The 24,973-nt window shown below is 49.2% G+C and overlaps 1 protein-coding gene and 1 pseudogene across 29 annotated transcripts in view, besides 4 other annotated features; one reads left to right on the forward strand and one right to left on the reverse strand.

Annotated features, from left to right (window-relative positions):
• Positions 1-24,973, forward strand: part of MINK1 (misshapen like kinase 1) — a 64,722-nt gene that overhangs the window by 12,835 nt on the left and 26,914 nt on the right. For 2 of the 29 annotated variants that reach the window (XM_017024708.2, XM_017024707.3), the window contains exon 1: positions 12,940-13,154. The exons of 26 other annotated variants lie outside the window; for them this stretch is intronic. The gene's annotated coding sequence lies outside the window, so the exon portion shown is untranslated. Of the gene's footprint in view, positions 1-12,939; positions 13,155-24,973 lie in introns of those variants that run through there. One more of the 29 variants, NM_001321236.2, reaches the window with a different exon arrangement.
• Positions 2,776-3,491: an enhancer, noted in NCBI's record as "H3K27ac-H3K4me1 hESC enhancer chr17:4752245-4752960 (GRCh37/hg19 assembly coordinates)". NCBI's record gives its function as "activates a minimal SCP1, AML or CMV promoter by ChIP-STARR-seq in naive H9 embryonic stem cells {active_cell/tissue: H9 hESC(naive)}" and the evidence as "EXISTENCE:reporter gene assay evidence [ECO:0000049][PMID:30033119]".
• Positions 3,492-4,205: an enhancer, noted in NCBI's record as "H3K27ac-H3K4me1 hESC enhancer chr17:4752961-4753674 (GRCh37/hg19 assembly coordinates)". NCBI's record gives its function as "activates a minimal SCP1, AML or CMV promoter by ChIP-STARR-seq in naive H9 embryonic stem cells {active_cell/tissue: H9 hESC(naive)}" and the evidence as "EXISTENCE:reporter gene assay evidence [ECO:0000049][PMID:30033119]".
• Positions 7,672-8,623: an enhancer, noted in NCBI's record as "H3K27ac hESC enhancer chr17:4757141-4758092 (GRCh37/hg19 assembly coordinates)". NCBI's record gives its function as "activates a minimal SCP1, AML or CMV promoter by ChIP-STARR-seq in naive H9 embryonic stem cells {active_cell/tissue: H9 hESC(naive)}" and the evidence as "EXISTENCE:reporter gene assay evidence [ECO:0000049][PMID:30033119]".
• On the reverse strand, positions 10,793-11,225 carry ATP6V0CP1 (ATPase H+ transporting V0 subunit c pseudogene 1; annotated as a pseudogene).
• Positions 13,680-13,974: a silencer, noted in NCBI's record as "tiled region #481; K562 Repressive non-DNase unmatched - State 16:ElonW". NCBI's record gives its function as "represses a minimal TATA promoter and a strong SV40 promoter by Sharpr-MPRA in K562 cells {active_cell/tissue: K562}" and the evidence as "EXISTENCE:reporter gene assay evidence [ECO:0000049][PMID:27701403]".

Here is a 24,973-nt window from a genome sequence, read left to right on the forward strand (position 1 = left end):
TACACTGTTGTGGGCTGTGCCCTTACATTACCAGGCAGAAGCCTGCAGTGCAAAAGACCTCTGCGTTTCCTCACAATAGTGTCAGATTGGAAGGATCAAGGGAAGACTCAAGGACTCATGAGGTCTTTTTTCTCTGTCTCCTTGTACAACCTTAGAGGAAGCTGCATGTATTTGATGACACCTTCCAGGAACTGCCCAATACCGAATGGCCCTTCTCACCACAATTCCTCTTACTGCAGTCTAAAGCGTACTTTTTTCTTAGGCTGAGCCAGGTCTGAATGGCAGTCAGTTGTTTTCCTTGGACTGAGTCTCAGTCTACCCCACCCTAATGTTCAAAGTTTGAATGAAGGAATGTTCCAATTGATGACTCCTAGAGACACTAACATCCTTAGGTGTTATCCTACAGTCTGCCTGGATGTTGTTCCCATCACCATCGCCAATACAAGTAATAAGTGATTGAAGTGTTTGTGTTTAAAGCAGAGCCTCTATGGGCCATCTTATTATGACTTTTTTTGAGACAGGGTCGTGCTCTGTTGACCAGGCTGGAGTGCAGCGGCATGATCATAACTTGCTGTAGCCTTGAACTCCTGGCCTCAAGTGATCCTCCCACCTCTGCCCCCCAAAGTGCTAGGATGACAAGTGTGAGCCACAGGCTCGGCCCCATCTTACATTTCAGAAGGTGCCAGCAGTCGGCCAAGGCCTCAGAGCTAGTGAGAGCTGACTTCCCATACTCATGCCTCATGACTCTGCCGCATTGCCCAGTCCCCACCAGAAACAGAGATCTCGTGTGAGATTGGTCAGTGTGGAGTCCAAAGTGTAGTCTTTGCAGCTTAGTTGTGTTTCACAAGTTAACAATGAACATACCTGCTACTGCCCGGATCTCCTGTCCTGGCCTCATAACCTCCTCAGGTGGCCCAAATTGCCTATCTCTAAAGAGCTGTCAGTGGGAGGCCTGCTAACACAACGGGCTGTTTGACTTTGCCTTTGAGGCAATGTGATCCATGGAGTGAACATGGCATGAGGAGCCGGGTGACCTGGTTCTAGTTTTGGTTCCAGTTCATTCATTCATTCATTCATTCATTCATTCATTCAGATGGAGTCTCGCTCAGGCTGGAATGCAGTGGCGCAGTCTCAGCTCACTGCATCCTCTGCCTCCTCGGTTCAATCAATTCTCCTGCCTCAGCCTCTAGCGTAGCTGAGATTACAGGCTCCCACCACCACACCTGACTAGGTGAGCTGATGCTGGTTTGAATCCAAGTCTGTCTCCAAAGCCTATGCAGTTGCAGGGAGTGTTTCCCGAGGACTGTAGGATGATAGGATTCCCTAAGATCCCTTCAGGCCCAGGAGTCCTTATTTCTTCCTAAAAATTTTTGAGTGCCTACTATGAGACAGAGCCAGCCCCCTGTCATAGAGGTCAAAATATGCTTTATTTGTTCTCACACTGACTTAAACATATGAATATATTAAATGTGTAATTTACAGTGTTCTATATATAAGGAAAAGTGCATGTATGAGGTGGTGACTGTGTGTTAAGCTGGGAGGAGCTGACAGAAACGGGGGGTGCCAGTGGCCAGGGCGGGTGGTGTCTCAGAGCTGGTCTCGGAAACATCAGTTCCTACTGTGTAGAGAGATCTCAGGTTGGGCGCAGTGTTGGAGTGTGGGTATGGAGCCCAGCATCCATGGGAAGGACACAAAAAATAAAGGGAAGTTTCAGAAAAAGGTCTGGGCCCAGTACAGTGGCTCATGCTTGTACTCCCAGCACTTTGGGAGGCAGAGGTGGGTGGAGTGCTTGAGCTCAGTAGCTTGAGACCAGCCTGGGCAACATAGAGACCTCATCTCTGTTTAAAAGAGGAGAGATGGGGGAGAGAGAGGAAGAAGGAGGGAGGGAGGACGGGAGGGACTCTGAAGGACTATTTGATTTGAAATATGACCTTCAGAATATGTACACTCCAGAGACGGTTTCCTGAGTCTGCTAGTGCTGAGGAGGAAGAGCAGTCAGAACCAAATGGGGATTGACTTGTGAAGACAGGGAATTGTTCCTTAGGGACAGAGAGGAACCTGGAATGGGGGACCTTCCCCATCGCTCCCTGCAACTGCACAGACCTTGGAGACAGACTTGATTCAAACCCCAGTTCTGTCACTTACTACGTGTTCTTTGGCAAGTAACTCATACCCCTATGCCTCAGTGTTTGGGGGTATTTTTTGAGACGGAGTCTCACTCTATCGCCCAGGCTGGAGTGCAGTGGCGTGATCTCGGCTCACTGCAAACTCCGCCTGCCAGGTTCATGCCATTCTCCTGCCTCAGCCTCCCAAGTAGCTGGGACTACAGGCACCTGCCACCACACCTGGCTAATTTTTTGTATTTTTAGTAGAGACGGGGTTTCACCGTGTTAGCCAGGATGGTCTCCATCTCCTGACCTCGTGATCCGCCTGCCTCGGCCTCCCAAAGTGCTGGGATTACAGGCGTGAGCCACCGCGCCTGGCCTCGTTTTTGTATTTTTTAGTAGAGATGGGGTTTTGCCATGTTGGCTAGGCTTGTCTTGAGCTCCTGACCTCAGGTGATCCGTCTGCCTCAGCCTCCCAAAGTGCTGGGATTACAGGCCTAAGCCACCGCGAACCTGGCCCCTGTGCCTCAGTTTTGTCCTTTGTAAAATGAAGGTAACAAGACTCACCTAATAGGGATGTTGAGAGGATTAAATAAAAGGGATGTAAAGTGCTTAGTCTGGTAAATGCTCATTAGACAGGTGGTAGCTGCCCAACATCTCTTATTGCACAAAGTTCCCAGAAAGCGTGTCTCCTGGGGTTCTTTAACATTCCTCTCCCCCTGACTTAGTATTTTGTTTAAGAAAGAGAAAACCACCCAGTCTATTGATTTTAAGGTAAATGGCTGAGAGTGAGTCAGTGAGCCCCAGGTGTAGACCTGGAATTCTGTGGGCTTGGCTTCCCTTTCCCAGTCCTAGAGCCTCCTACCATCTCCTGAAAGTCTTCCAGCGTCACTGCAAGGAAGAGTAACTTCAAAATCTTCTATCTGAACACGAAACTCCTGTTTGTCCTGACTCAGGAATTCCGGCAATCACTGGGCAGTCACTCTGGCCCTGCGTGCTGTTTTCTGTAAAAGCTCTGGACCCACCCAGAGAAAGCATTCAGCCTGAGGGGAAAACCTATGCCTCACCCTTGGGGACACACAGCTTTGTTGGGATGTGAGAGACAAGACATTGGCACAGAAATGTATAAAGAGCTTTATTGAAAGGCACAGATTGAAGGCTGGGCGGCTCAGGATGCTGGGCTCCTTACTCTGCCTTGCCTGGAGATTTGAGATTCCTGCCTTGAGCCTTTGTGTGCTCCCCACCCCTGCTCCTCCCTTGGCTAACTCTTGCCTGTCCCTGTGGTCTCAGCGTGTTTTGTTTGTTTGTTTGAGATGGAGTTTTGCTCTTGTTGCCCAGGCTGGAGTGCAATGGTGCGATCTTGGCTCATCGCAACCTCCATCTCCTGGTTTAAGCGATTCTCCTGCCTCAGCCTCCCGAGTAGCTGGGATTACAGGCACCCGCCACCATGCCCGGCTAATTTTTTGTATGTTTAGTAGAGGTGGGGTTTCTCCATGTTGGTCAGGCTAGTCTCGAACTCCCGGCCTCAGGTGGTCCGCCCGCCTCGGCCTCCCAAAGCGCTGGGATTACAGGTGTGAGCCACCGCGCCCGGCTGGTCTCAGCTTAAACATCACTTCCTTAGCGAGCCTTTCCTGGCTCCCTTCCCATCTTGACCTCCCTTTAATCTTTCTTTTCTTCTTTTTTTTGAGACACTGTCTCCCTCTGTCATCCAGGCTGTAGTGCAGTGGCGCAAGCGTGGCTCACTGCAGCCTCCTTGAATCGTTCTGATAGCACTCTGTATTTTTTCATCAGAGTCTTTCACAGGTGTTGTGTAATTATGTCTTTAATGTCTGCTTCCTTGATTAGACTGTAAGCTCCATGAAGGAAGAAGGGACCATTTCTGTTTTGTTCAACGCCACGTTGTAGTATCTAGCAATGCCTCTACATAGCTGACACTCAGTGTTTGTTGAATGAATGCATGAGCTGGCTCACCAGGCCATAGATTTGGCATGAAAGGTGTCTGGGAAGGTTTCTTAGGATAAACAGGAGAGACAGGCCTGGTGAAAAGTTGAGTGAACATGTTTGCTCCATCCTGCTGGTCAGGAAGTTCCCCTTCTGTCTCACCTGCGTCTCTTCAGCTGTAATTTATCCTGGGTTGGTCCTTGGTGGGGCCAGAGAATATCTGGTCTCCACCCTTTGGAGAGTAACCCTGTTCTTTCTCAGAGTGTGATTCAGACAGTCCTTCCTCCCCTTCCTGCTGGCCCCCCCCGCCCTCTACCTGTTCTTCCTACAGCTGACTCAGCTTCACACCCTCTCCCTCTCCTTCCAGGATCTCTTTTCCTGTCCCCTTGTCCTTCAGAGCTTTCCTTCCTAAGTTTTCTCTCATGGCCTGTCATTGGTCTTCTGGAATTCGAAATCATATGGGTACAGGTCACAAGTTTTCTTGGTCATGAAGCTTCTCTAGTCTCTTCCTTGGGTTTGTGGACACCTGACTCCCACAGAAGGAGGCTGGCAATAAGATATAATGATCTGTTTGTGCTGCAATTGAAAACCAGCAGCAAGAAGCCTTATTATTATCCAACCCCTCATTACTAGTGTTGTCCTCCTCCGTTAGCTTGGTATCTGCCAGCCTGAACGGGCCTGGCATCTCCTTTCTGCCCCCTCCCACTGCCATGCTGTGCCCTTCCTTGCTCTCTCTGGTGTCTGCTTCCCAGGGACTGGCCCTCCTCCCTGCCCCTGTCAGCCTGCCTCCGAGGCCACAGATCTGGTTTTCCTCCCTTCTGTCTCACCTGCCTTCCTCTCAATTCTACTTTTTATCTTGTTTCTTCTCTCCTGAACTGCCACACTTCACCCTAAATCCCAGTAACGCCAACAGTTTTGGTAAATCACTTTTTGCCACAGTTTTGCCTTGCTTTGTGGGAGCCAGTTTCTTCATAATGACTCTATGCAAATTTGTAGCATTTTATGGATTTTAAAATGTTTCCACATCGGTGAATTCTTGTGAAATGGGCCTGGGTAGATAAGGAAAAGAACCTCCAAGAGGTTAAGTGATTTGCGGATTTGCCTAAATTATACAGAAGAGTCAGAACCAGTGCCCAGGCCTTCTGATTCTTAGTGCAGTAAACACTAAGCACCATCATTCCATTTCACCACACTCCTGTCTTGCTGTTGTCCTCAGCTAAGAAAGCCTACCCCTGAGTTACCCTCTTCCATCTTAGAGCCTTCCTGCTCGCTGTCTGCCCCCCTGCGATGGGGACTTCTTTGGCCCTTCTCACCCAGCCCAGCCTCTGCCCGTTTCCTTCTCCTTTCCACTGCGCTGAGCTCTTTTCTCCTCCGAGAAGCCTTCCCTTCATCTCTCCTGGCCCCATTGTCTCCCGACCTCTTTGGGCCATTATTAGTGTTCCCGTGTGGTTTTTGCCAACCACGTAGGAATTCCCTGCCTTAAGAAAGTCCACTCTCGGGCCGTGCGTGGTGGCTCACGCCTGTAATCCCAGCACTTTAGGAGGCCAAGGTGGGTGGATCACCTGAGGTCAGGAGTTCAAGACCAGCCTGACCAACAAGGTAAACCCTGTCTCTACTAAAAATACAAAAATTAGCCGGGTGTGGTGGCTTGTGCCTGTAATCCCAACTACTTGGGAGGCTGGGACAGGAGAATCACTTGAATCGGGGAGGCAGAGGATGCGGTGAGCTGAGATCACCCCACTGCACTCCAGCCTGGGCAACAGAGTGAGACTCTGTCTCAAAAAAAAAAAAAAAAAAAAAAAAAAAACTAAGAAAGTCCACTCTCTGGTAAAACATTTACCAAGCATATAAATTATGAGGTGCTGATTCATATGACAAAAAGGAGATTCACTTTTAGTAGCTGCTCTAATGCATTCCACTTAAGTGAATATTCAAGGATTATTTTGGAAGGATGGAGATAATCCAAAACTAGTGTGAGAAACTGCTGCATTAAGGAAGGAGGGAGGTTTTTCTAGATAACTGCTGCATTAAGGAAGGAGGGAGGTTTTTCTTTTATTTCTGTATTCATTCATTCCACAGACAGGTATTGAGGGCAGCCCTGACCTCCAAGAACTTAGTCTAGCAGAGGAGACAGATAAGAGAATCAATCACAAAAATGTAATTGGTGTCACGAAAGAGTCAGTACAGGGTATTGTGGGAGGAGAGGATTGTGAGGGGCACTTCCTGGAGGTGACATTGTCTCAGTGGAGGTCGGGAGGCACAGGCACGAGGCATCCAGGTAAAGAGGAGGAGAGTGATGAACAGCATGTGGAGACCCAGGAGTGAGAAGGAACAGAGAGAAAGCCACTAGTTAGTGCAGTGTTCCTGCCCCTCTGCCTCATCCCCACACCAGCAAGAACCAAAAGGCACCAGCATGAGAATTGGCAAGGCTCCAGGTAAACCATAGCTGGGATATTCAGCTGTACAGCAGTCATATGTGAGCCTGAGGAAGAACCTGTTTGGCCCACAGAGGGAGACAGAATCTACTGGGTGGGGGGGGTGTGATTTGTGGGGGAGTGTGGTTGATGGGTGGAGTGTGTTTGGTGGGGGAGTGTGGTTTGTGGGGGAGTGTGGTTGGTGGGGGAGTGTGGTTGGTGGGGGAGTGTGGTTGGTGGGGGAGTGTGATTTGTGGGGGAGTGTGGTTGGTGGGGGAGTGTGGTTGTTGGGGGGAGTGTGGTTGAGGGGGAGTGTGGTTGGTGGGGAGTGTGGTTGGTGGAGGAGTGTGATTGATGGGGGAGTGTGGTTGGTGGGGGGAGTGTGGTTGGTGGGGAGAGTGTGGTTGAGGGGGAGTGTGGTTGGTGGGGGGAGTGTGGTTGATGGGGGGAGTGTGGTTGGTGGGGGAAGTGTGGTTGGGGGAGTGTGGTGGGGGGAGTGTGGTTGGTGGGGGAGTGTGGTTGGTGGGGGAGTGTGGTTGAGGGGGAGTGTGGTTGGTGGGGGGAGTGTGGTTGGTGGGGGGAGTGTGGTTGGTGAGGGAGTGTGGTTGGTGGGAAGAGTGTGGTTGGTGGGGGGAATGTGGTTGGTAGGTAGAGTGGTTGGTGGGGGAGTGTGGTTGGTGGGAAGAGTGTGGTTGGTGGGGGAGTGTGGTTGGTGGGAAGAGTGTGGTTGGGGGGAGTGTGGTTGGTGGGAAGAGTGTGGTTGGGGGAGTGTGGTTGGTGGAGTGTGGTTGAGGGGGAGTGTGGTTGGTGGGGGGAGTGTGGTTGGTGGGAAGAGTGTGGTTGGTGGGGGAGTGTGGTTGTTGCTGTGTGCCATCGGAAGGCTATGCAAGTTTGAGCGCTTGCTTCACCTTGACAAACATTTCACTTGTTAGAGCCCTGGCTTTCTCATCTGTGCTCTGAGCTAGTCATTCCTGCCAAGCTTCCCTGCAGGTTTAAGTGCAGATGCAGTCATGACTGTGAAAGCACCCTGTGAACTGTAAAGTCTGGGCAGTTGGGTGGTGGTAGGAGAGGCAGCAACTGTGAGAGGATGAACTTGATTCTGCTGATCTCGGACGGAAACTGATTCTTGGGAGAGAGACAGAATCAAACGGCTCTGACATTTGAAAAGCCATGGCCTCGCTTACCTACAGTGAGACTTGAGAAGAAGTGCTGGGGAGGTAAAGGCTGAGATACCACCTCCGCTGCCTGAAAGACTTTGCAAGATACTCCAGCTGGGGATAGGAGATGGCTAGAATGACCTCCAACTATCTTCACACCCGAGGCTGGGGCTGCCCTTCCAGGCCTGCAGTTCTGTATTTTCCCTTAGAAGGTTCTGGAGGCAGACGGAACCTCAGAAGCAAACGGTTTATTTTTTAGGTTTTTCAGTTTATTTTTAAATTTCTGACTGTGATGGTGTTTATTTTTTCCTTTTCCCTTTCCCCACTTCCCCGGCTCAGCATCAGAAAGGGACCATCTGTCCGTTGCCTTGCTGTGGCCATTTTAGAACCAGCGCAAGGCTGCTTGAATCTGGTCCCCTCTTCTCCCTCACTCCCTCCCCCACCACCTGGCTTTCTCTACTCTGCACTGCCTGCTTTCATCCAGCTCCCTCCAGGTGTCAGCTGCCACCTCTTATAGGCCTCCATCTGTGAAGACCTCCAGGCTGAGTCCAGCCACCAGACCAGGGCCCCTGTCTGAGGCAGCCAGATCTGTGGGGAACCTAGACATGGAGGCAGCAAAATTACCCTTTGAGAGGAGGAGGGGAATAAATTCCAGTCTCCTTGCTCCAGGCAGGGCCCCTCTGCTCTGACTGGTTTCTGATGAGAATGGTATGTGTATTCATGTATGTGTCATGTCCTGACTTGTTTCTGCCTCTGCATGTACCTGCAAGTCAGTGTGTGTGTGCATGCGTGTGTCTCACACATCCCTCTGGCATAGAGATCCATGAGTGATTTATAAACTGCCTTTCCTCCCATCACATAAATATTTTTCCTGGTTTCTTCGCCTTCCTTCTACTTCTAGAACTGGCCTGATTTCCTCCCCTCCAGTGCTTCATTCCCATAAAAACACTTCAAAACACAGGTAGCCATCGATAGACAGAGGACAAGTACTTCACGTTGTGGATTCAGAATAAAAAGATCCGGTTGAGTTCCACAGTGTGAGAGGCAGGGTTAGCAGAGTGGAGAGTCTGTTTCAGAGAGTAAGAAGCGCTGAGAAAAGGAGTTTTTTTGAAGGCTTCATTAAAAAGAGTCCAGGCTGGGCGCGGTGGCTCCCGCCTATAGTCCCAGCACTTTGGGAGGCCCAGGTGGGCAGATCACTTGAGGTCAGCAATTCGAGACCAGCCTGGCCAACATGGTGAAACCCCATCTCTACTAAAAATACAAAAGATTAGCCGGGCGTGGTGGTGGGCGCCTATAGTCCCAGCTATTACTATACTTAGGAAGCTGAGGCAGGAGAATTGCTTGAACCTAGAAGGGGAGGTTGCAGTGAGCTGAGATTGTGCCACCACACTCCTGTCTTAAAAAAAAAAAAAAGGCCAGGCATGGTGGCTCACACCTGTAATCCCAGCACTTTGGGAGGCTGAGGCAGGTGGATCACGAGGTCAGGAGATCAAGACCATCCTGGCTAACAAGGTGAAACCCCGTCTCTACTAAAAATACAAAAAATTAGCTGGGCGTGGTGGCGGGCGCCTGTAGTCCCAGCTACTCAGGAGGCTGAGGCAGGAGAATGGCGTGAACCTCGGAGGTGGAGCTTGCAGTGAGCTGAGATTGTGGCATTGCACTCCAGCCTGGGCGACAGAGCGAGACTCCATCTCAAAAAAAAAAAAAAAGGCCGGGCACAGTGGCTCATGCCTGTAATCCCAGCACTTTGGGAGGCCGAGGCGGGCGGATCATGAGGTCAGAAGGTTGAGACAGCAGTGAAACCCCATATCTACTAAACATACAAAAAATTAGCCGAGTGTGGTGGCAGGTGCCTGTAGTCCCAGCTACTCGGGAGGCTGAGGCAGGAGAATGGCGTGAACCTGGGAGGCGGAGGTTGCAGTGAGCCGAGATCGCGCCACTGCACTCCAGCCTGGGCGACAGAGCAAGACTCCGTCTCAAAAAAAAAAAAAAAAAAGAAAGAAACCCCATCTCTACTAAAAATACAAAAAAAATCAGCTGGATGTGGTAGCAGGCACCTGTAATCCCAGCTACTCAGGAGGCTGAGGCGGGAGAATCACTTGAACCTGGGAGATGGAAGTTGCAGTGAGCTGAGATCATGCCACTGCACTCCAGCCTGGGTGACAAAAGCGAGACTCTATCTCAAAAAAAAAAAAAAAGTCCAGTTGATGGTGGTATATCATGGACAGTAGGAAATTGATGAGGGTATCAGCCTGCCTTCTCTCTTCCTTTCATTTGCTCAGTGGAGAGATGCTGGTGACCCCTTCTCCTTCTCTCGCCATAGGAACATTTAATCTGTCTCATGCTTTGGCTTTGGGCCTGCCATTCACCCCAAGCACCTTGGGGTATAAGTGGGGATGATGCTGTCTACCTGCTTCCTAGTTGGCTCTGGGGTAAATGGAGACTTCTTCAGGCCTGGGAGGCCACCTCCCATTGAGAAAGGCAAGCATCTCGCGCTCTACTTACCCTCTGGGTCCTTGAGGGGCTGTGTCCAGTATCTCTGCTTGGGTAGGAAGGAGGTGATCTTATCAGACTTTTCCTGCCACTTCCCTGTCTCCAGCTCACACACCCACTCCCGTTTTCTCTCTCTTACGTACTCACACTCTCTTTTTTTTTTCTTTCCCTCCCCCGACATCTGAGAACTTTATCAGACACAGCTGCCGCACAGGGCCTGGCAGCGCGGGCTGGAGAGGGTGGTTCCATCCAAGGAGCCTCCGCAATGGGAACCTCCATGACGTGACAGATAGGTGGGAGATGAGGGCTGCTCCACAGGGGTATGGACAGGCCAAATCTTTATAAATATCTAATGAAGAGAAAATGACAACTCTAATTCATCCTTATACATAGAGTACTCAAGGGAGATGGGTGGGGCATCCAGGGGCCTGAGTCCTCACTGGTCGGGGACCTGGATGGGTGATGAGTAGGTTCAGATGTCCACAGCATGGGGCGGGAGGGGGCAAGGCCTGGCCAACAGACGATGAACACGAGGACACTGTACACTTAGAAGATCAACTACTGAGGGCCAGCTGCCCAGCACATGCGTGTCAGGCTGTTTGTTCCGGAATGAGGAGGGGTGGTCTTTACATCGTATTCTGTGACTGGTGGGTTTTGAGAGGGGCTGCTTTGTGGAGAGAATGAGCACCTTGGCAAAGATGAGGATCAGTATCATGCCTACAAATAGTCGGGGCTGCTGGGCAGTGCCACACTTGCCAGTGTCCCCCACGATGACGATGGCAAAGCCGGCTGCCAGGCCACTCAGGCCAGCGCCCAGCTGGAGGAAACTGCTATAGAGACTGTTGTCATCATTCAGGGAGTTGGCAGGGGGGACAGCCGCCACTAGGCCATAGATGGTGATGATACCAGCCATGACCACTGGGATGATGGACTTCATGTGGATCAGCTCTGGCCACATGACAGACATGGCCATGATGCCGGTGCCATTCTTGGCCATGCCACAGGCAGCACCCAGGCCACTGGAGACCATGGTGGCCATAGCACCCGAGATGGTGAAAACCAAAGCATACTCGGGGCTGTTGTTGGACATGTCTGTGAGTGGGGAGGGGGACAAGGATGGGCATGGCAGAGAGTGAGTGCAAAGACAGTGGACTAGTGGCAGCAAAGATGCTGGTTTTTTTTTTTTTTTTTTTTTTTTTTGAGATGGAGTGTCACTCTGTAGCCCAAGCTGGAATGCAATGGTGCGATCTCAGCTCACTTCAACCTCTGCCTCCAGGGCTCAAGCCATTCTCATGCCTCAGCCTCCCGAGTAGCTGGAACTATAGGCACGCACCACCATGCCCAGCTAATTTTTTGTATTTTTAGTAGAGATGGGGTTTCACCATGTTGCCCCGTATGGTCTCAAACTCCTGAGCTCAGGCAATCCGCCAGCCTTGGCATCCCAAAGTGCTGCGATTATAGGGGTGAGCCACCGCGCCCAGCCAAGATGCTCTTTCTTACCACACACACACCCTCCTATTTCTTTTCTTATGCACACACACAGACACACACACAGCCTTTAGCTACTCCTAATTGAAGGGTGCCTAAGACACCACCCTTCTGTCAGAATACTTGCCCCTACTTCCAAATCTCTGCCAGTACTGTATCCTTGTGGAACTTAACTTAAATTGTTGGGGAGACCCCATCTGTCCTTTGTCTCTCAGGCCCTTATCCCTTCCCCTGTGGTGGCTTCAGAATATCTCCTACAGATGGGGTTTAGGGTTAGTAATCTGGTGGTACTGGGGCTAAGGGATAGGTTTTAAAGCTCCATTTGCATAGCAGTCACTATTTTAACACTTAGATTGTTGGTGTTTTGGGGTGTCTTTAAGGGAGCTGATGAATTTATGGGAGGCTAAATATCCCCTCCCCCACTGGGTATAGCCACTGCCTTTGCCCCCCTCTTCCTCTCTGTGTGGGCCTTCTGGATTACAGGAAGAGCTCAGGAAAACAGGCCTATTGTTTTCATCTGGGAGGGGGGAGGGCCTCCCAGGCCAGCTCAGGCTCACTGTCCTTTGAACTGGTACCCGATAAACAGAGGCTCCAAGACGCTGGCAGCCTTGTTCTTCCAAGGCAAGGGAGTTATTTGGCTTGAGACTTTATTCTGTTCTGCCAGCTCTTGTTGGTTCCCTGTTTATTTTTTTTTAATTTAAATTTAATTTTTTTTTTTTTTTGAGACGAGGTCTTGCTCTGTTGCCCAGGCTGGAGTGCAGTGGTGCAGTCTCGGCTCACTGCAACCTCCGCCTCCCAGTCTCAAGTGATTCTCATGCCTTACCCTCCTGAGTAGCTGGGATTACAGGCATGCACTACCATGCCCAGCTAATTTTTGTATTTGTAATAGAGATGGGGTTTCACCATGTTGGCCAGACTTGGTTCCCTCTTTAGACCACAAGTTCCCATTCTCTTTCCCTAGTGTCCTATGAAATTCTCTTCTCCCGCTTCCGCATCTGTTTTTCTCTATCACAGGTTTCTCAGAATCTTTCTGGCTGCTGTATAGTCAGTCCTGGTATGGTTAGTAACAGCAGGAAGCCTGCCTTTTTGGAAGTACAAGGAGCTAGGAAAGGAGGGGTCTCTCCCAGACTAGAGAGGTCTTCTCCCCTAGCCTCACAGCTAGCTGACTCTGCCTTGTCCTCCCAACACCCGGGATTCCCCCCGGCCCCTCCCAACACCAGGCACCCGGGGCAGCCCCACCTCCTGCCCTGTTTCCTGTCAGGGGTAGGATGGCACCTTGCCTGGGTCTGGGAACAGCACTGGCTCTAGCAGCAGGACCTGCCGGGGCATATCTGAGTGAATAATCATTGCTGGGCTCGAAGCACAGGAGAGACCAGTCCTTCCTTGTCTCCACTGGGCTGTTTAGTGCTTCTTTCCCAAGGACTTCCATCCCTTCCCCAGGCTTTATGGTTCCAGTTCTTCTACCATTCTGGAAGCTCCCTAGAATCTCCTGGAATGCTTAATGGACCTTTCCAGCACCGAAATTCAAGAATTATGACTCATCGGTCAGCAGAAAAGTGAGGATACCTTTTCCTAACCTACCTGCTTCCCCTGCAGTTTCCTCACAATCTTACTCTTTATATTTTAGCATATGTAACTTCTCAGGATGTTAATTCTGTTCTCTCTGTGTTGGTGTCTGAGCACCCAGAAGGTAGAGCCAGGGGCACTTATAAACCAGGAGCATTATTTGACAGGCACTTAAGAAAGACACTGGCTACGTAATCCCAGCACTTTGGGAGGCTGAGGCGGATGGATCACATGAGGTCAGGAGTTCGAGACCAGCCTGGCCAACATGGTGAAACCCTGTCTCTACTAAAAATACAAAAATTAGCTGGGTGTGGTTGCACACGCCTGTAATCCCAGCTACCTGGGAGGCTGAGGCAGGAGAATCGCTTGAACTTGGGAGGCGGAGGTTGCAGTGAGCCTAGATTTTGCCATTGCACTCCAGCCTGGGTGACAAGAGCGAAACTCCATCTCAAAAAAAAAAAAAAAAAAAAAAAAAAAGATGCTGGCTAATATTGATAATAACAGTTTGCATTTGCTAAAGTACTTAAAAAAAAAACCTTTACCCCTCAAAGGGTTTCATCTACATGCAAAACCAACACCGTAGGAACTACTTTCCGCATGCGGAGCCGGGTACAGAGGGAAGGGGCGCGTCCGGGAACTACTTGCCGCATGCGGAGCGGGGTACAGAGGGAAGGGGCGCGTCCGGGAACTACTGGCCCCATGCGGAGCGGGGTACAGGGGGAAGGGTCGCGTCCGGGAACTACTTGCCGCATGCGGAGCGGGGTACAGAGGGAAGGGGCATGTCGTTAGAGGAGCTACTGTTAGTGGAATGAGGACGGGTAGCCAGAGTTCTCATCTGCCAGCTCCAGGCCACTTCCAAGAAATGTGACCCCCAAGCCTCTGGTGCTTGCCTCCTTCTGCTCATTCAGTCGTCCACCTCTTTCATTCTGGATTCCACCATGAGTCCAGGCCTCTCCTGCATTTCTAGATTTCCACGTGCTGATTGTGAGGGACTGACGGGGGTTTCACCTTCTCTCCTTTTCCTGGCCCCACAGCCTTGGCTCACGCTTCCTAGGCTCTGAGTTTCAGTTCGTGTCCCAGCCTCCCAACCGGACAGCGTTCTGGAAACAGTTTATGCATGAACTCTTGCATTTTCTCTTGGGAAATAATCAAACCCTTTGTTTCTAATCTCCTCTCAGTCTGTACTACTACTACTACACTAACATGACTTTGGTTTTGGGGAAAGGAAAGGAAAATGTCTGTTGATGCTGGGCCCCAGGCAGCACCGTGAGAGCTGCAACGGGCTCACATTTGCCCCTAGTTTTTCCTCCAGGTAGGAGCTGTGGGAGGAGTCCAGGGAGTCCCTTGAGGCTGAGCAGAGCAAAGAAGCAAGGGCTCAAGGCTGGTGTGTGCCTGGTTCTCCCCTGGTCAGTTCTAGGGAGCAGAGACCGTGGTGCAGGTGGAAGGACCACGGCGCTGTGTCCCTTAACTGTACAGCACCAGTGCGCGCCACGTGCTGGGGAGATGCCGAAGCCTTAGGGAGCAACTTCGGGAAGCTTTTGAAGCTGGGGAAACTAATACACTTGAAATAGTTAAAGGGGGATTTAAGGCAGAGGAGCAGAGTCTGAGGGGACAGCTCGTGCCCTCCCCTTGCCTGCCTCAGGCCACCAGCTTTGTGCCTCTTCTCTCCCTCCAGCCCTTGTTCCTCAGCTTCTTCTGAAAAGCTTTCCTTGAGCAAACCCAGCTCCGCCTTGCTCTGTCTGGCGTTGAATCATTAAATCAGCGACGATTTGGTGACCTCGTATATACTCAGAACATACCTGGAGCTGTGAGGGGAACAGGAGCAAACCACAGGCAGCTCCCTAGTGAGGCGAGTGCAGTGTCACCAGGACGTGCTGCTTGGGGCCAGCCTGGTGTGGCCAGTGCCTTGCATTGTATGCGGAGCTGCGAGAGACGAGACATCTACCAAGAGTTTCTGCGTTAACATCACTGTTGGCTCTTCATAGCTGAGCAAAGCAATATGTACAATTATACATCGTAAACAACGCAGGGCACAGTGCCAGGCGACATCTATTTCGACCCACATGAGGCGCTCTGTCTGTTATTCCAGAGCCCCACCTTTCAATAATTGAGTCCAACACTTGTATGGTATCTTCTTGAGCCTCTCCATCAACCAAAGGTTTTTATTTATTTATTTTTTTGAGTTGGAGTCTCACTCTGTTGCCCAAGGTGGATTGCAGTGGCACGATCTCAGTTTACTGTAACCTCCGCCTCCTGGGTTCAAGCGATTCTCCTGCCCCAGCCTCCCTAGTAGCTGAGATTACAGGCACGTGCCACCACACCCAGATACTTTCTGTATTTTTAGTAGAGACAGAGTTTCACCATGTTGGCCAGGCTGGTCTTGAACTCCTGACCTCAGGTAATCCACTCGCCTCAGCCTCCCAAGGTGCTGGGATTACAGGGTGAGCCACCATGCCCGGCCCAACCAAAGATTTTACACAATTTTATTATATGTAAAATGTGAGGAGATAAGACATGCTTAGTAATAGAAGCTCTAGTGAGTGAGAGAAAGCAGCCGCAGACTGTTACCCCACATGCTCACTATGCGACAATAGTCGTTTTGTGTATGTTATAGATTCAGAGCTGCACAGATAAAGTACTGCTGTTTTCATTCGGGCACCCATCTCAGTGTGAGGCCGCCTAATTCTCATTCCATGTATACCCAAGTACCACCTAGAAATGGCTCCTGCCCTTAATGAGCTTCTGTTCTACTTGTGGAGATGAGGCTTGGTCCTGTGAAAGGTTAAATAGAGATGTTGTGGTCTGGCTTGTTGGGTTGGAAGGAATCTGCTCTAGCTAAGTCAAATAAAGGGAGAGATGCAGCAGAGACTCGAGCCGGCTACATGCATTCAAACCCTGGCTCTGCCACTGAAATAGCTGTTTGACCTTGGCAAGTTATTTACCTTCCCTGAGCCTGTTTCCTCCTCTGTAAAGTGAGAATAATAATAATATCTACCTCATGGAGTTAGGTGAGGATTAAATTAGTTGGTGTGTGGGCCAGGCACGGTGGCTCACGCCTGTAATCCCAGCACTTTGGGAGGCCGAGACGGGTGGATCACCTGAGGTCAGGAGTTCAAGACCAGCCAGGCCAACATGGCGAAACCCCGTCTCTACTAAAAATACAAAAACTAGCCTGGCGTGGTGGCGGGCACCTGTAATCCTAGCTACTGGGAGGCTGAGGCAGGAGAACTGCTTGAATCCAGGAAGTGGAGGTTGCAGTGAGCCAAGATTGCGCCACTGCACTCCAGCCTGGGTGACAGAGTGAGAATCCATCTCAAAAAAAAAAAAAGAAAAATTAGTTGGTGTGTGTAAAACACTTAGCACAGTGCCAGGCTGTCAATATTATTTTTTATTTAAAGTCAAGACCCTTCTTGGAAGGGCGTGTGGCTCATGCCTGTAATTCTAGCACTTTGTGTGTCCGAGGCAGCAGGATTGCTTGAGCCCAGGAGTTCAATACCAGCCTGGGCAACACAGTGAGATCCCATCTCTACAAAAAAGGTTTTAAAAAGTAGCTGGGCATGATGGTGCATGCCCGTGGTTCCAGCTACTCAGGAAGCTGAGGTGGGAGGACTGCTTGAACCCAAGAGGTTGAAGCTGCAGTGGGCTGCAATTGCACCACTGCACTCCAGCCTGGGCAACATTGCAAGACCCTGCCTCACAAAACAAAAACCAAAAAAAATCCTTCTCACTTCACATGCCAAGGGAAAAGAAAAGAGAAAAGAAAAAGAATCTTGTTCGAACCTAGGCACCTGAATGGCAGCCCAGACAGTTCCTTGGAACTGAAACCATAGGGTGGTTCTGGGTTAATGGTAACAGCGGGGGATAGCTAGAGTCAGTTGGTCACTCTCCCGCTTCTGTCTCCCCCTGTAGTTCCCATGCCCTCTCCTTCCATGTCTGCTGTGCTCTCTGTGTACAGTGTGGCCACTCTGCCCACTCATGGCCTCTGCTTTCCTTTACCTGAGATAATAATGGGCTCTCCAGCCTTGACTCTCCATGCACTCTTTGGCATCTTCCCTTTTATTTGAAATGGCTGAAGGGGAAGTTTGCCTTAGGTTACCTTTTTTCCTTCAATCTTGGACTGGCTCCCTGGGGTCAGGAACTCATGTCTTAAACTGTTGCTGGGGCTAGAAAGGGGAGGAAATGGTGGAAAACCCGGTCCTTTAGGCAACAGGAGCTATGAGCCAGGCAAAGCACACTGCAGGCCTTGAGGTCAGATTTTTCAGTCAAATCTTGGCTCTACCACTTCCTAGCCTGGGCAAGTGTTTAATTGTTGTAAACTTTTTCACCTGTGAAATGAGTATAACAATAGTACCCACTTCAAAGTTTGTCATGTGAGATTATACTTCTAAAGTGCTCGGCAGTACCAGGAACAAATGAAATGCTCAAAAATTGCTAGCTGTCTCATTATTATTATTATTATTATTATTTTTGAGACGGAGTCTCACTCTGTCACCCAGGCTGGAGTGCGGTGGCGCAATCTCGGCTCACTGCAACCTTCGCCTCCCGGGTTCAAGAGATTCTCCTGCCTCAGCCTCCCAAGTAGCTGGATTACACGTGTGTGCCACCACGCCCAGCTAATTTTTGTATTTTTAGTAGAGACGGGGTTTCACCATGTTGGTCAGGCTGCTCTCAAACTTCTGACCTCAAATGATCCGCCTGCCTCGGCCTCCCAAAGTGCTGGGATTATAGGAGTGAGCCACCTTGCCCGGCCTAGCTGTGTCATTATTAAAGGGCTATGGGGGCCAGGTGCAGTGGCTCATGCCTGTAATCCCGGCACTTTGGGAGGCTGAGGTGGGTGGATCACCTGAGGTCGGGTGTTCGAGACCAGCCTGACCGACATGGAGAAACCCCGTCTCTACTAAAAATACAAAATTAGCCAGGCGTGGTGGCGCATGCCTGTAATCCCAGCTACTCGGGAGGCTGAGGCAGGAGAATCGCTTGAACCTGGGAGGCGGAGGTTGCAGTGAGCCGAAATCACACCCTTGCACTCCAGCCTGGGCAACAAGAGCAAAACTCTGTCTCAAAAAGAATAAATAATTAATTAATTAAATAAAGGGCTATGGGGGCCGGGCCTGGTGGCTCATGCCTGTAATCCCAGTACTTTGGGAGGCCGAGGTGGAGTGGATCACCTGAGGTTAGGAGTTCGAGACCAGCCTGGCCAACATGGTGAAACCCCATCTCTACTAAAAATACAAAAATTAGCCGGGCATGGTGGTGGGTGCCTGTAATCCCAGCTACTGGGGAGGCTGAGGCAGGAGAATCGCTTGAACCCGGGAGATAGATGTTGCAGTGAGCCGAGATCGCACCATTGAACTCCAGCCTAGGCGACAAGAGTGAGACTCCATCTCAAAAAAAAGAGCTATGGGGAGAGTGGACAATGACAGTGATCTCTGAGATGGCCGATATGGGCAAGCTCCTAAAGTGGTAAAGATCAGGACCGGAAGGATGGGGCAGATTACAGCACTCATTGTTTAGAGGAGGGTACTGGAAAGCCGGTTAGACCACCGCAGCTTGAATATGTCTTCTTCAAAAGAACCTTTTCCTGGCTCCCCAGCCTCGGTCAGGTGTGCTCTCTTGGCACCCTGCACTTCACAGCACATAAGACAGACCAGAGCTCTTTCCACGACCAAAACCTTCCTTCCTCCTTTTTGGTCCAAGAGACACACTTGGCAGCAGCAGGAGGAGTGTCACTCCATACGTTTTTATTTTTATCTTTACTTTTTTATCTTTTCTGTTTTACATGAGATGTGTATTTAAATAACCAGACACTGGGCCGGGCGCGGTGGCTCACGCCTGTAATCCCAGCACTTTGGGAGGCCGAGGCGGGCAGATCACCTGAGGTCAGGAGTTCGAGACCAGCCTGACTAACATGGTGAACCTCCGTCTCTACTAAAAACACACAAAAAATTAGCCGGGTGTAGTGGTGGGCGCCTGTAATCCCAGCTACTTGGGAGGCTGAGGCAGGAGAATCCCTTGAACCCGGGAGGTGGAGGTTGCAGTGAGCCGAGATCGCGCCATTGCACTCCAGCCTGGGCAACAGGGTGAGACACTGTCTCAAAAAATAAATAAATAAATAAATAAATAACCAGACACTGGACTAGAGGGGGAAAGTTTCAAGGATTTTTTTTTCTTCCCCTTTTTCTCATAAGGACAAATGTGCCTATGTGGAACAGCTACATAGAATAAAATGATGAAATTGTGATCTATGAAAAAAACATTAAAATAGGCTAGGCATGGTAGCTCACACCTGTAATCTCAGCACTTTGGAAGACAGGCAGGAGGATCGCTTGAGCCCAGAAGTTCGAGACCAGCCTGATCAACACAGGGAGACCCGTCTCTACCAAAAAAAAAAAAAAAAAAAAGCCAGTATCCAGGCAGAGTGGTGTGTGTGCTTGTAGTCCCAGTTACCTGGTAGGCTAGGGCAGGAGGATCACTTGAGTCCAGGAGTTCGAGGCTACAGTGAGCTATGATTGTGCCACTGCACTCCAGCCTAGGTGACAGAGTGAGAACCTGTCTCAAAAAAGAAACGATACATGGGTTTGTGTCATCTGAGATGCAACGAAAGAAAGAAAGAAAACAAAGACATACCACAGCTGTAATTACACAATTAATTGTAGAGGTTATTAATGTGTGCCTCTCTCCTCAGAACATAAACACCAGTAAGGTAGGGACTGCTTCAGTTACTCACTGTTCTATTCCCCAGCCTAGCACAGTTTCTGGTACACAATAGGAAGGAATTAATAGTCGTTAGGTTGGCAGCCTCATGGAGTGTGGACCCATTTAGAATCATAGAGTTAGAAAGTTTTTGGGCCAGACGCGGTGGTTCACGCCTGTAATCCCAGCACTTTGGGAGGCCAAGACAGATGGATCACGAGGTCAGGAGATTAAGACCATCCTGGCCAACATGGTGAAACCCCGTCTCTACTAAAAATACAAAAAATTAGCTGGGCGTGGTGGGGTGTGCCTGTAGTCCCAGCTACTCGGGAGGCTGAGGCAGGAGAATCGCTTGAACTAGGAAGTTGGAGGTTGCAGGGAGCCGAGATCGCGCCACTGAACTCCAGCCTGGTGACAGAGTGAGACTCCGTCTCAAAATTAAAAAAAAAAAAAAATTTCTATCTTACTGAAAGGGAACTTAGAGAAGTTAAGTGGTCCTTGAACACACAGCCTGTTGGCAGCAGAGCCAAGAATAAGAAACCAAATTCTGAGCAACATAGTGAGACCCTGATTCTACCAAAAAAAAAAAAAAAAATAGCCAGGCATGATGGCACACGCCTGTAGTCCCGGCTACTTGGGAGGCTGAGGTAGGATTGCTTAAGCACAGCAGCCTGAGACGGCAGTGAGCCATGATTCTGGCACTGCACTCCAGCCTGGGTGACAGAGCAACACTGCATCTCAATTAAAAAACAAAAAACTCGATCGGGCGCGGTGGCTCACGCCTGGAATCCCAGCACTTCGGGAGGCCGAGGCAGGCGGATCACGAGGTCAGGAGATTGAGACCATCCTGGCCAACGTGGTGAAACCCCATCTCTACTAAAAATACAGAAAATTAGCCGGGCGTGGTGGCGGGCGCCTGTAGTCCCAGCTGCTCCGGAGGCTGAGGCGGGACAATGGCGTGAACCCGGGAGGCGGAGCTTGTAGTGAACCGGGACCGTGCCGCTTGCACTCCAGCCTGGGTGACAGAGTGAGACTCGTCTCAAAATAATAATAATAATAATAATAATAATAATAAACTGCACACTATAGTAGGTGCTCTTAGGACTGTTTTTTTTTTTTTTTTTTTTTTTTTTTAAGCCAGGGTCTTGCTCTGTCATCCAGGCTGGAGTGCAGTGGCATGACCACAGCTCACTGTAGGCTCATCCTCCTGGGCTCAAGTGATCCTCCTATCTCAGTCTCCTGAGTGGCTCATACCTGTAATCTCAGGGTTACAGGTATGAGCCACCATGCCCTACCTCTTAGGATTTTTAAAAATGCGTTAAAAAAATAGGTACACGGTCAGGTACAATGGCTCACAATTGTAATCCTAACACTTTGAAAGGCTGAGGCAGGAGGATCACTTGAGCCCAGGAGTTTGAGACCAGCCTGGGCAACATAGTGAGACCTAGCTCTAAAAAAGAATAATAATTAAAATTTTTAAAAATTGGGCCAGGTACAGTGGCTCACGCCTATAATCCCAGCACTTTGGGGGGCTAAGGTGGGCGGATCACCTGAGGTTAGGAGTTTGAGGCCAGCCTGGCCAACATGGCGAAACCCCATCTCTACTAAAATTACAAAAATTAGCCAGGTATGGTGGTCACAGCTACTTGGGAGGCTGGTAATCACAGCTACTGGTGAGGCTGAGGCAGGAGAATTGCTTGAACCTGGAAGGCGGAGGTGGCAGTGAGCCAAGATGGCGCCATTGCACTCCAGCCTGGGTGACAGAGTGAGACTGTCTCCAAAAAAGAAAAAAAAAAGGAATTGATACATAATTATACATATTGATGGAATACATGTGATCTTTTGATACATGCATACTATGTATAATTAAATCAGCATAATTTGGGCATCCATTACCTCAAACGCTTATTTTGTTGAGAACATTCCATATCTTCTAGCTCTTTTTTTTTTTTTTTAATATCTTTAGACACAGTCTTGCTCTGTTGCTTAGGCTGGAGTGCAATGGCATGATCTCGGCTCACTGCAACCTCCACCTTCCAGGTTCTAGTGATTCTCCTGCCTCAGCCTCCTGAGTAGCTGGGACTACAGGCATACACCACCACGCCCAGCTAATTTTTGTATTTTTAGTAGAGATGGGGTTTCACCCAGTTGGCCAGGCTGGTCTCAAACTCCTGACCTCAGGTGGTCCACCTTCCTCGACCTCCCAAAGTGCTGGGATTACAGGCGTGAGCCACCGTGCCCAACCCTCTTCTAGCTCTTTTTAAATTTACCATAAAGTATTGATAACTGTGGTTACCCTACTGTGCTGTCAAACACTAGAACCTTCTAATGTTTCTTCTATCCACCTGTATTTCTGAATCCATTAACCAGCCTCTCTTCATCCCCCTGCCCTTCACAGCTTCTGGCAACCCCCGTTCTACTCTCCACCTCCTTGAGACCAGCTCTTTCTAGTCTCCATATATGAGAGAGTCCATGTAATGTCTGTCTTTCTGTGCCTGGTGTATTTCACTTAACATAATATCCTCTGGGCTCTTCCATGTTGCTGCAAGTGGACAGATTTCATTACTTTTTATGGATGAATAATATTCGATTGTATAGATATGCCATATTTTATGTATGCATTTATTTAGGTTAACGCTATATCTTGGCTATGATAACTAGTGCTACAATAAATATAGGAGTGTAGATGTCTCTTCCATGTACTGATTTCTTCTCTTTTTTTTCTTTTTTTTGAGACAGGGTCTCACTCTGTTGCCCAGGTTGGAGCGCAGTGGCATGATCATGGCTTACTGCATGCAGCCTCAACCTCCCAGGCTCAAGCAGTCCTCCCACCTCAGCCTCCTAAGTAGCTGGAAGCACAGGTGCACACTGCCACACCTGGCTAATTATTTATTTATTTATTTATTTTTTGAGGTGGAGTCTCGCTCTGTCGTGCAGGCTGGTGTGCAGTGGCGTAATCTCTGCTCACTGCAAGCTCTGCCTCCCAGGTTCACGCCATTCTCCTGCCCCAGCCTCCCAAGTAGCTGGGACTACAGGCGCCAGCCACCACGCCCGGCTAATTTTTTTTTATTTTTAGTAGAGACGGGGTTTCATCATGTTAGCCAGGATGGTCTTGATCTCCTGACCTCATGATCTGCCTGCCTCGGCCTCCCAAAGTGCTGGGATTACAGATGTGAGCCACCGCTCCCGGCCTAATTTTTTAATTTTTAAATTATTATTTATTTATTTATTTATTTATTTATTTATTTATTTATTTATTTTTGAGACAGCGTTTCACTCCTATCGCCCAGGCTGCAGTGCAATGGCACGATCTCGGCTCACTGTAACTTCCACCTCCCAGAGTCAAGCAATTCTGCCTCAGCCTCCCTAGTAATTGGGACTACAGGTGCATACCACCACGTCCAGCTAATTTTTTGTACTTTTTATAGAGACACGGGGTCTCGCCATGTTGCTCAGGATGGTCTCTAACTCCTGGGCTCAAGTGATCCTCCTGCCTCGGCCTCCCAAAGTGCTCACATTACAGGCGTGGGCCACTGTACCTGACGATTTTTTCTCTTTTGGATATATACCCAGCAGTGGTATTGCCCGATCTTACGATAGTTCTGTTTTCAGTTTTTTGAGGAACCTGCTTACTGTTGTCCATAGAGGCTGTACTAATTTAGATTCCCACCAAAAGTGTATAAGAGTTCCCCTTTCTCCATATCCTTGGCAGCATCTCTTTTTTTTTTTGTCTTTTTAAAATTATTTTATTTTTATTTATTCATTTTTATTTTATTTATTATTTTATTTGTTTATTTATTTATTTATTTATTTATTTATTTTTGAGACAGAGTCTCAGTTTGTTGCCCAGGCTGGGGTGCAGTGGCGCAATTTTTTTTCTTTCTTTTTTTTTTGAGATGGAGTCTTGCTGTGTCGCCCCAGGCTGGAATGCAGTGGCGTGAACTCAGCTCACTGCAGGCCCCACCTCCAGGGTTCACGCCATTCTCCTGCCTCAGCCTCCTGAGTAGCTGGGACTACAGGCACCCGCCATCATGCCCAGCTAACTTTTTTTTTTTATTTTGTAGTAGAGACGGGGTTTCACCGTGTAAGCCAGGATGGTCTCGATCTCCTGACCTCATGATCCACCTGCCTCGGCCTCCCAAAGTGCTGGGATTACAGGCATGAGTCACTGCGCCCGGCCAATTTTTTTTTTTTTTTTTTTTTGAGACTGTTTTATTTTTTGTGGAGGAGTGGTTTCACTATGTTGCCCAGGCATGTCTTGAACTTCTGAGCTCAAGTGATCCTCCCACCTCAGCCTCCCAAAGTGTTGGGATTACAGTTACAGGTGTGAGCCACTATGCCCAGCCTTTTTGTCTTTTGATAATAACCCTTTAAATGGGGTGAGATGCTATCTCATTGGGTTTTGATTTGCATTTCTCCTATTATTAGTGATATTGAAGGATTATTTTTAATAACAGCTTTATTGAAATATAATTTACATACCATAAAATTTACCCTTTTAAAATATTTTAGGCCAGGTGTGGTGGCTCATGCCTGTAATGCCAGCACTTTGGGAGGCCAAGGCGGGCGGATCACTTGAACTCAGGAGTTCAAGACCAGCTTGGGCGACATAGTGAAACCCCATCTCTACAAAAAATATAAAAATTAGCCAGGTGTGGTGGTGCGCACCTGTAGTCCCAGCTACTTGGGAGTTTGAGGCAGGAGGATTGCTTGAGCTCAGGAGGTGGAGGTTGCAGTGAGCTGAGATTACACTACTGCACTCCAGCCTCAGCAACAAAGTGAGACCCTGTCTCAAAAAACAAACTAACAAAAATTAAAATAAAATATTTTAAAGTGGTTTTTGGTATACTCACAGACTTATGCAACCATCTTCACTATCTAATTTCAGAACCTTTTCATTATCCCCAGATGAAACCCAGTACGCATTAGCAGTCATTGCCCATCTTCTCCTTCCTCCCAGCCCCTGGCAACCACTAATCTACTTCTCATCTCTTTAGACTTGCCTATTCTGGACGTTACACATAAATGTAGCCACATAATATGTGGCCTTTTGTGACTAGCTTCTTTCATAAGCATAATGTCTTCAAGGTTCATCCATGTTGCAACATCTAGCAGT

Source organism: Homo sapiens, chromosome 17 (assembly GCF_000001405.40).
Source record: "Homo sapiens chromosome 17, GRCh38.p14 Primary Assembly".
In the NCBI taxonomy this organism is placed as follows: domain Eukaryota; kingdom Metazoa; phylum Chordata; class Mammalia; order Primates; family Hominidae; genus Homo; species Homo sapiens.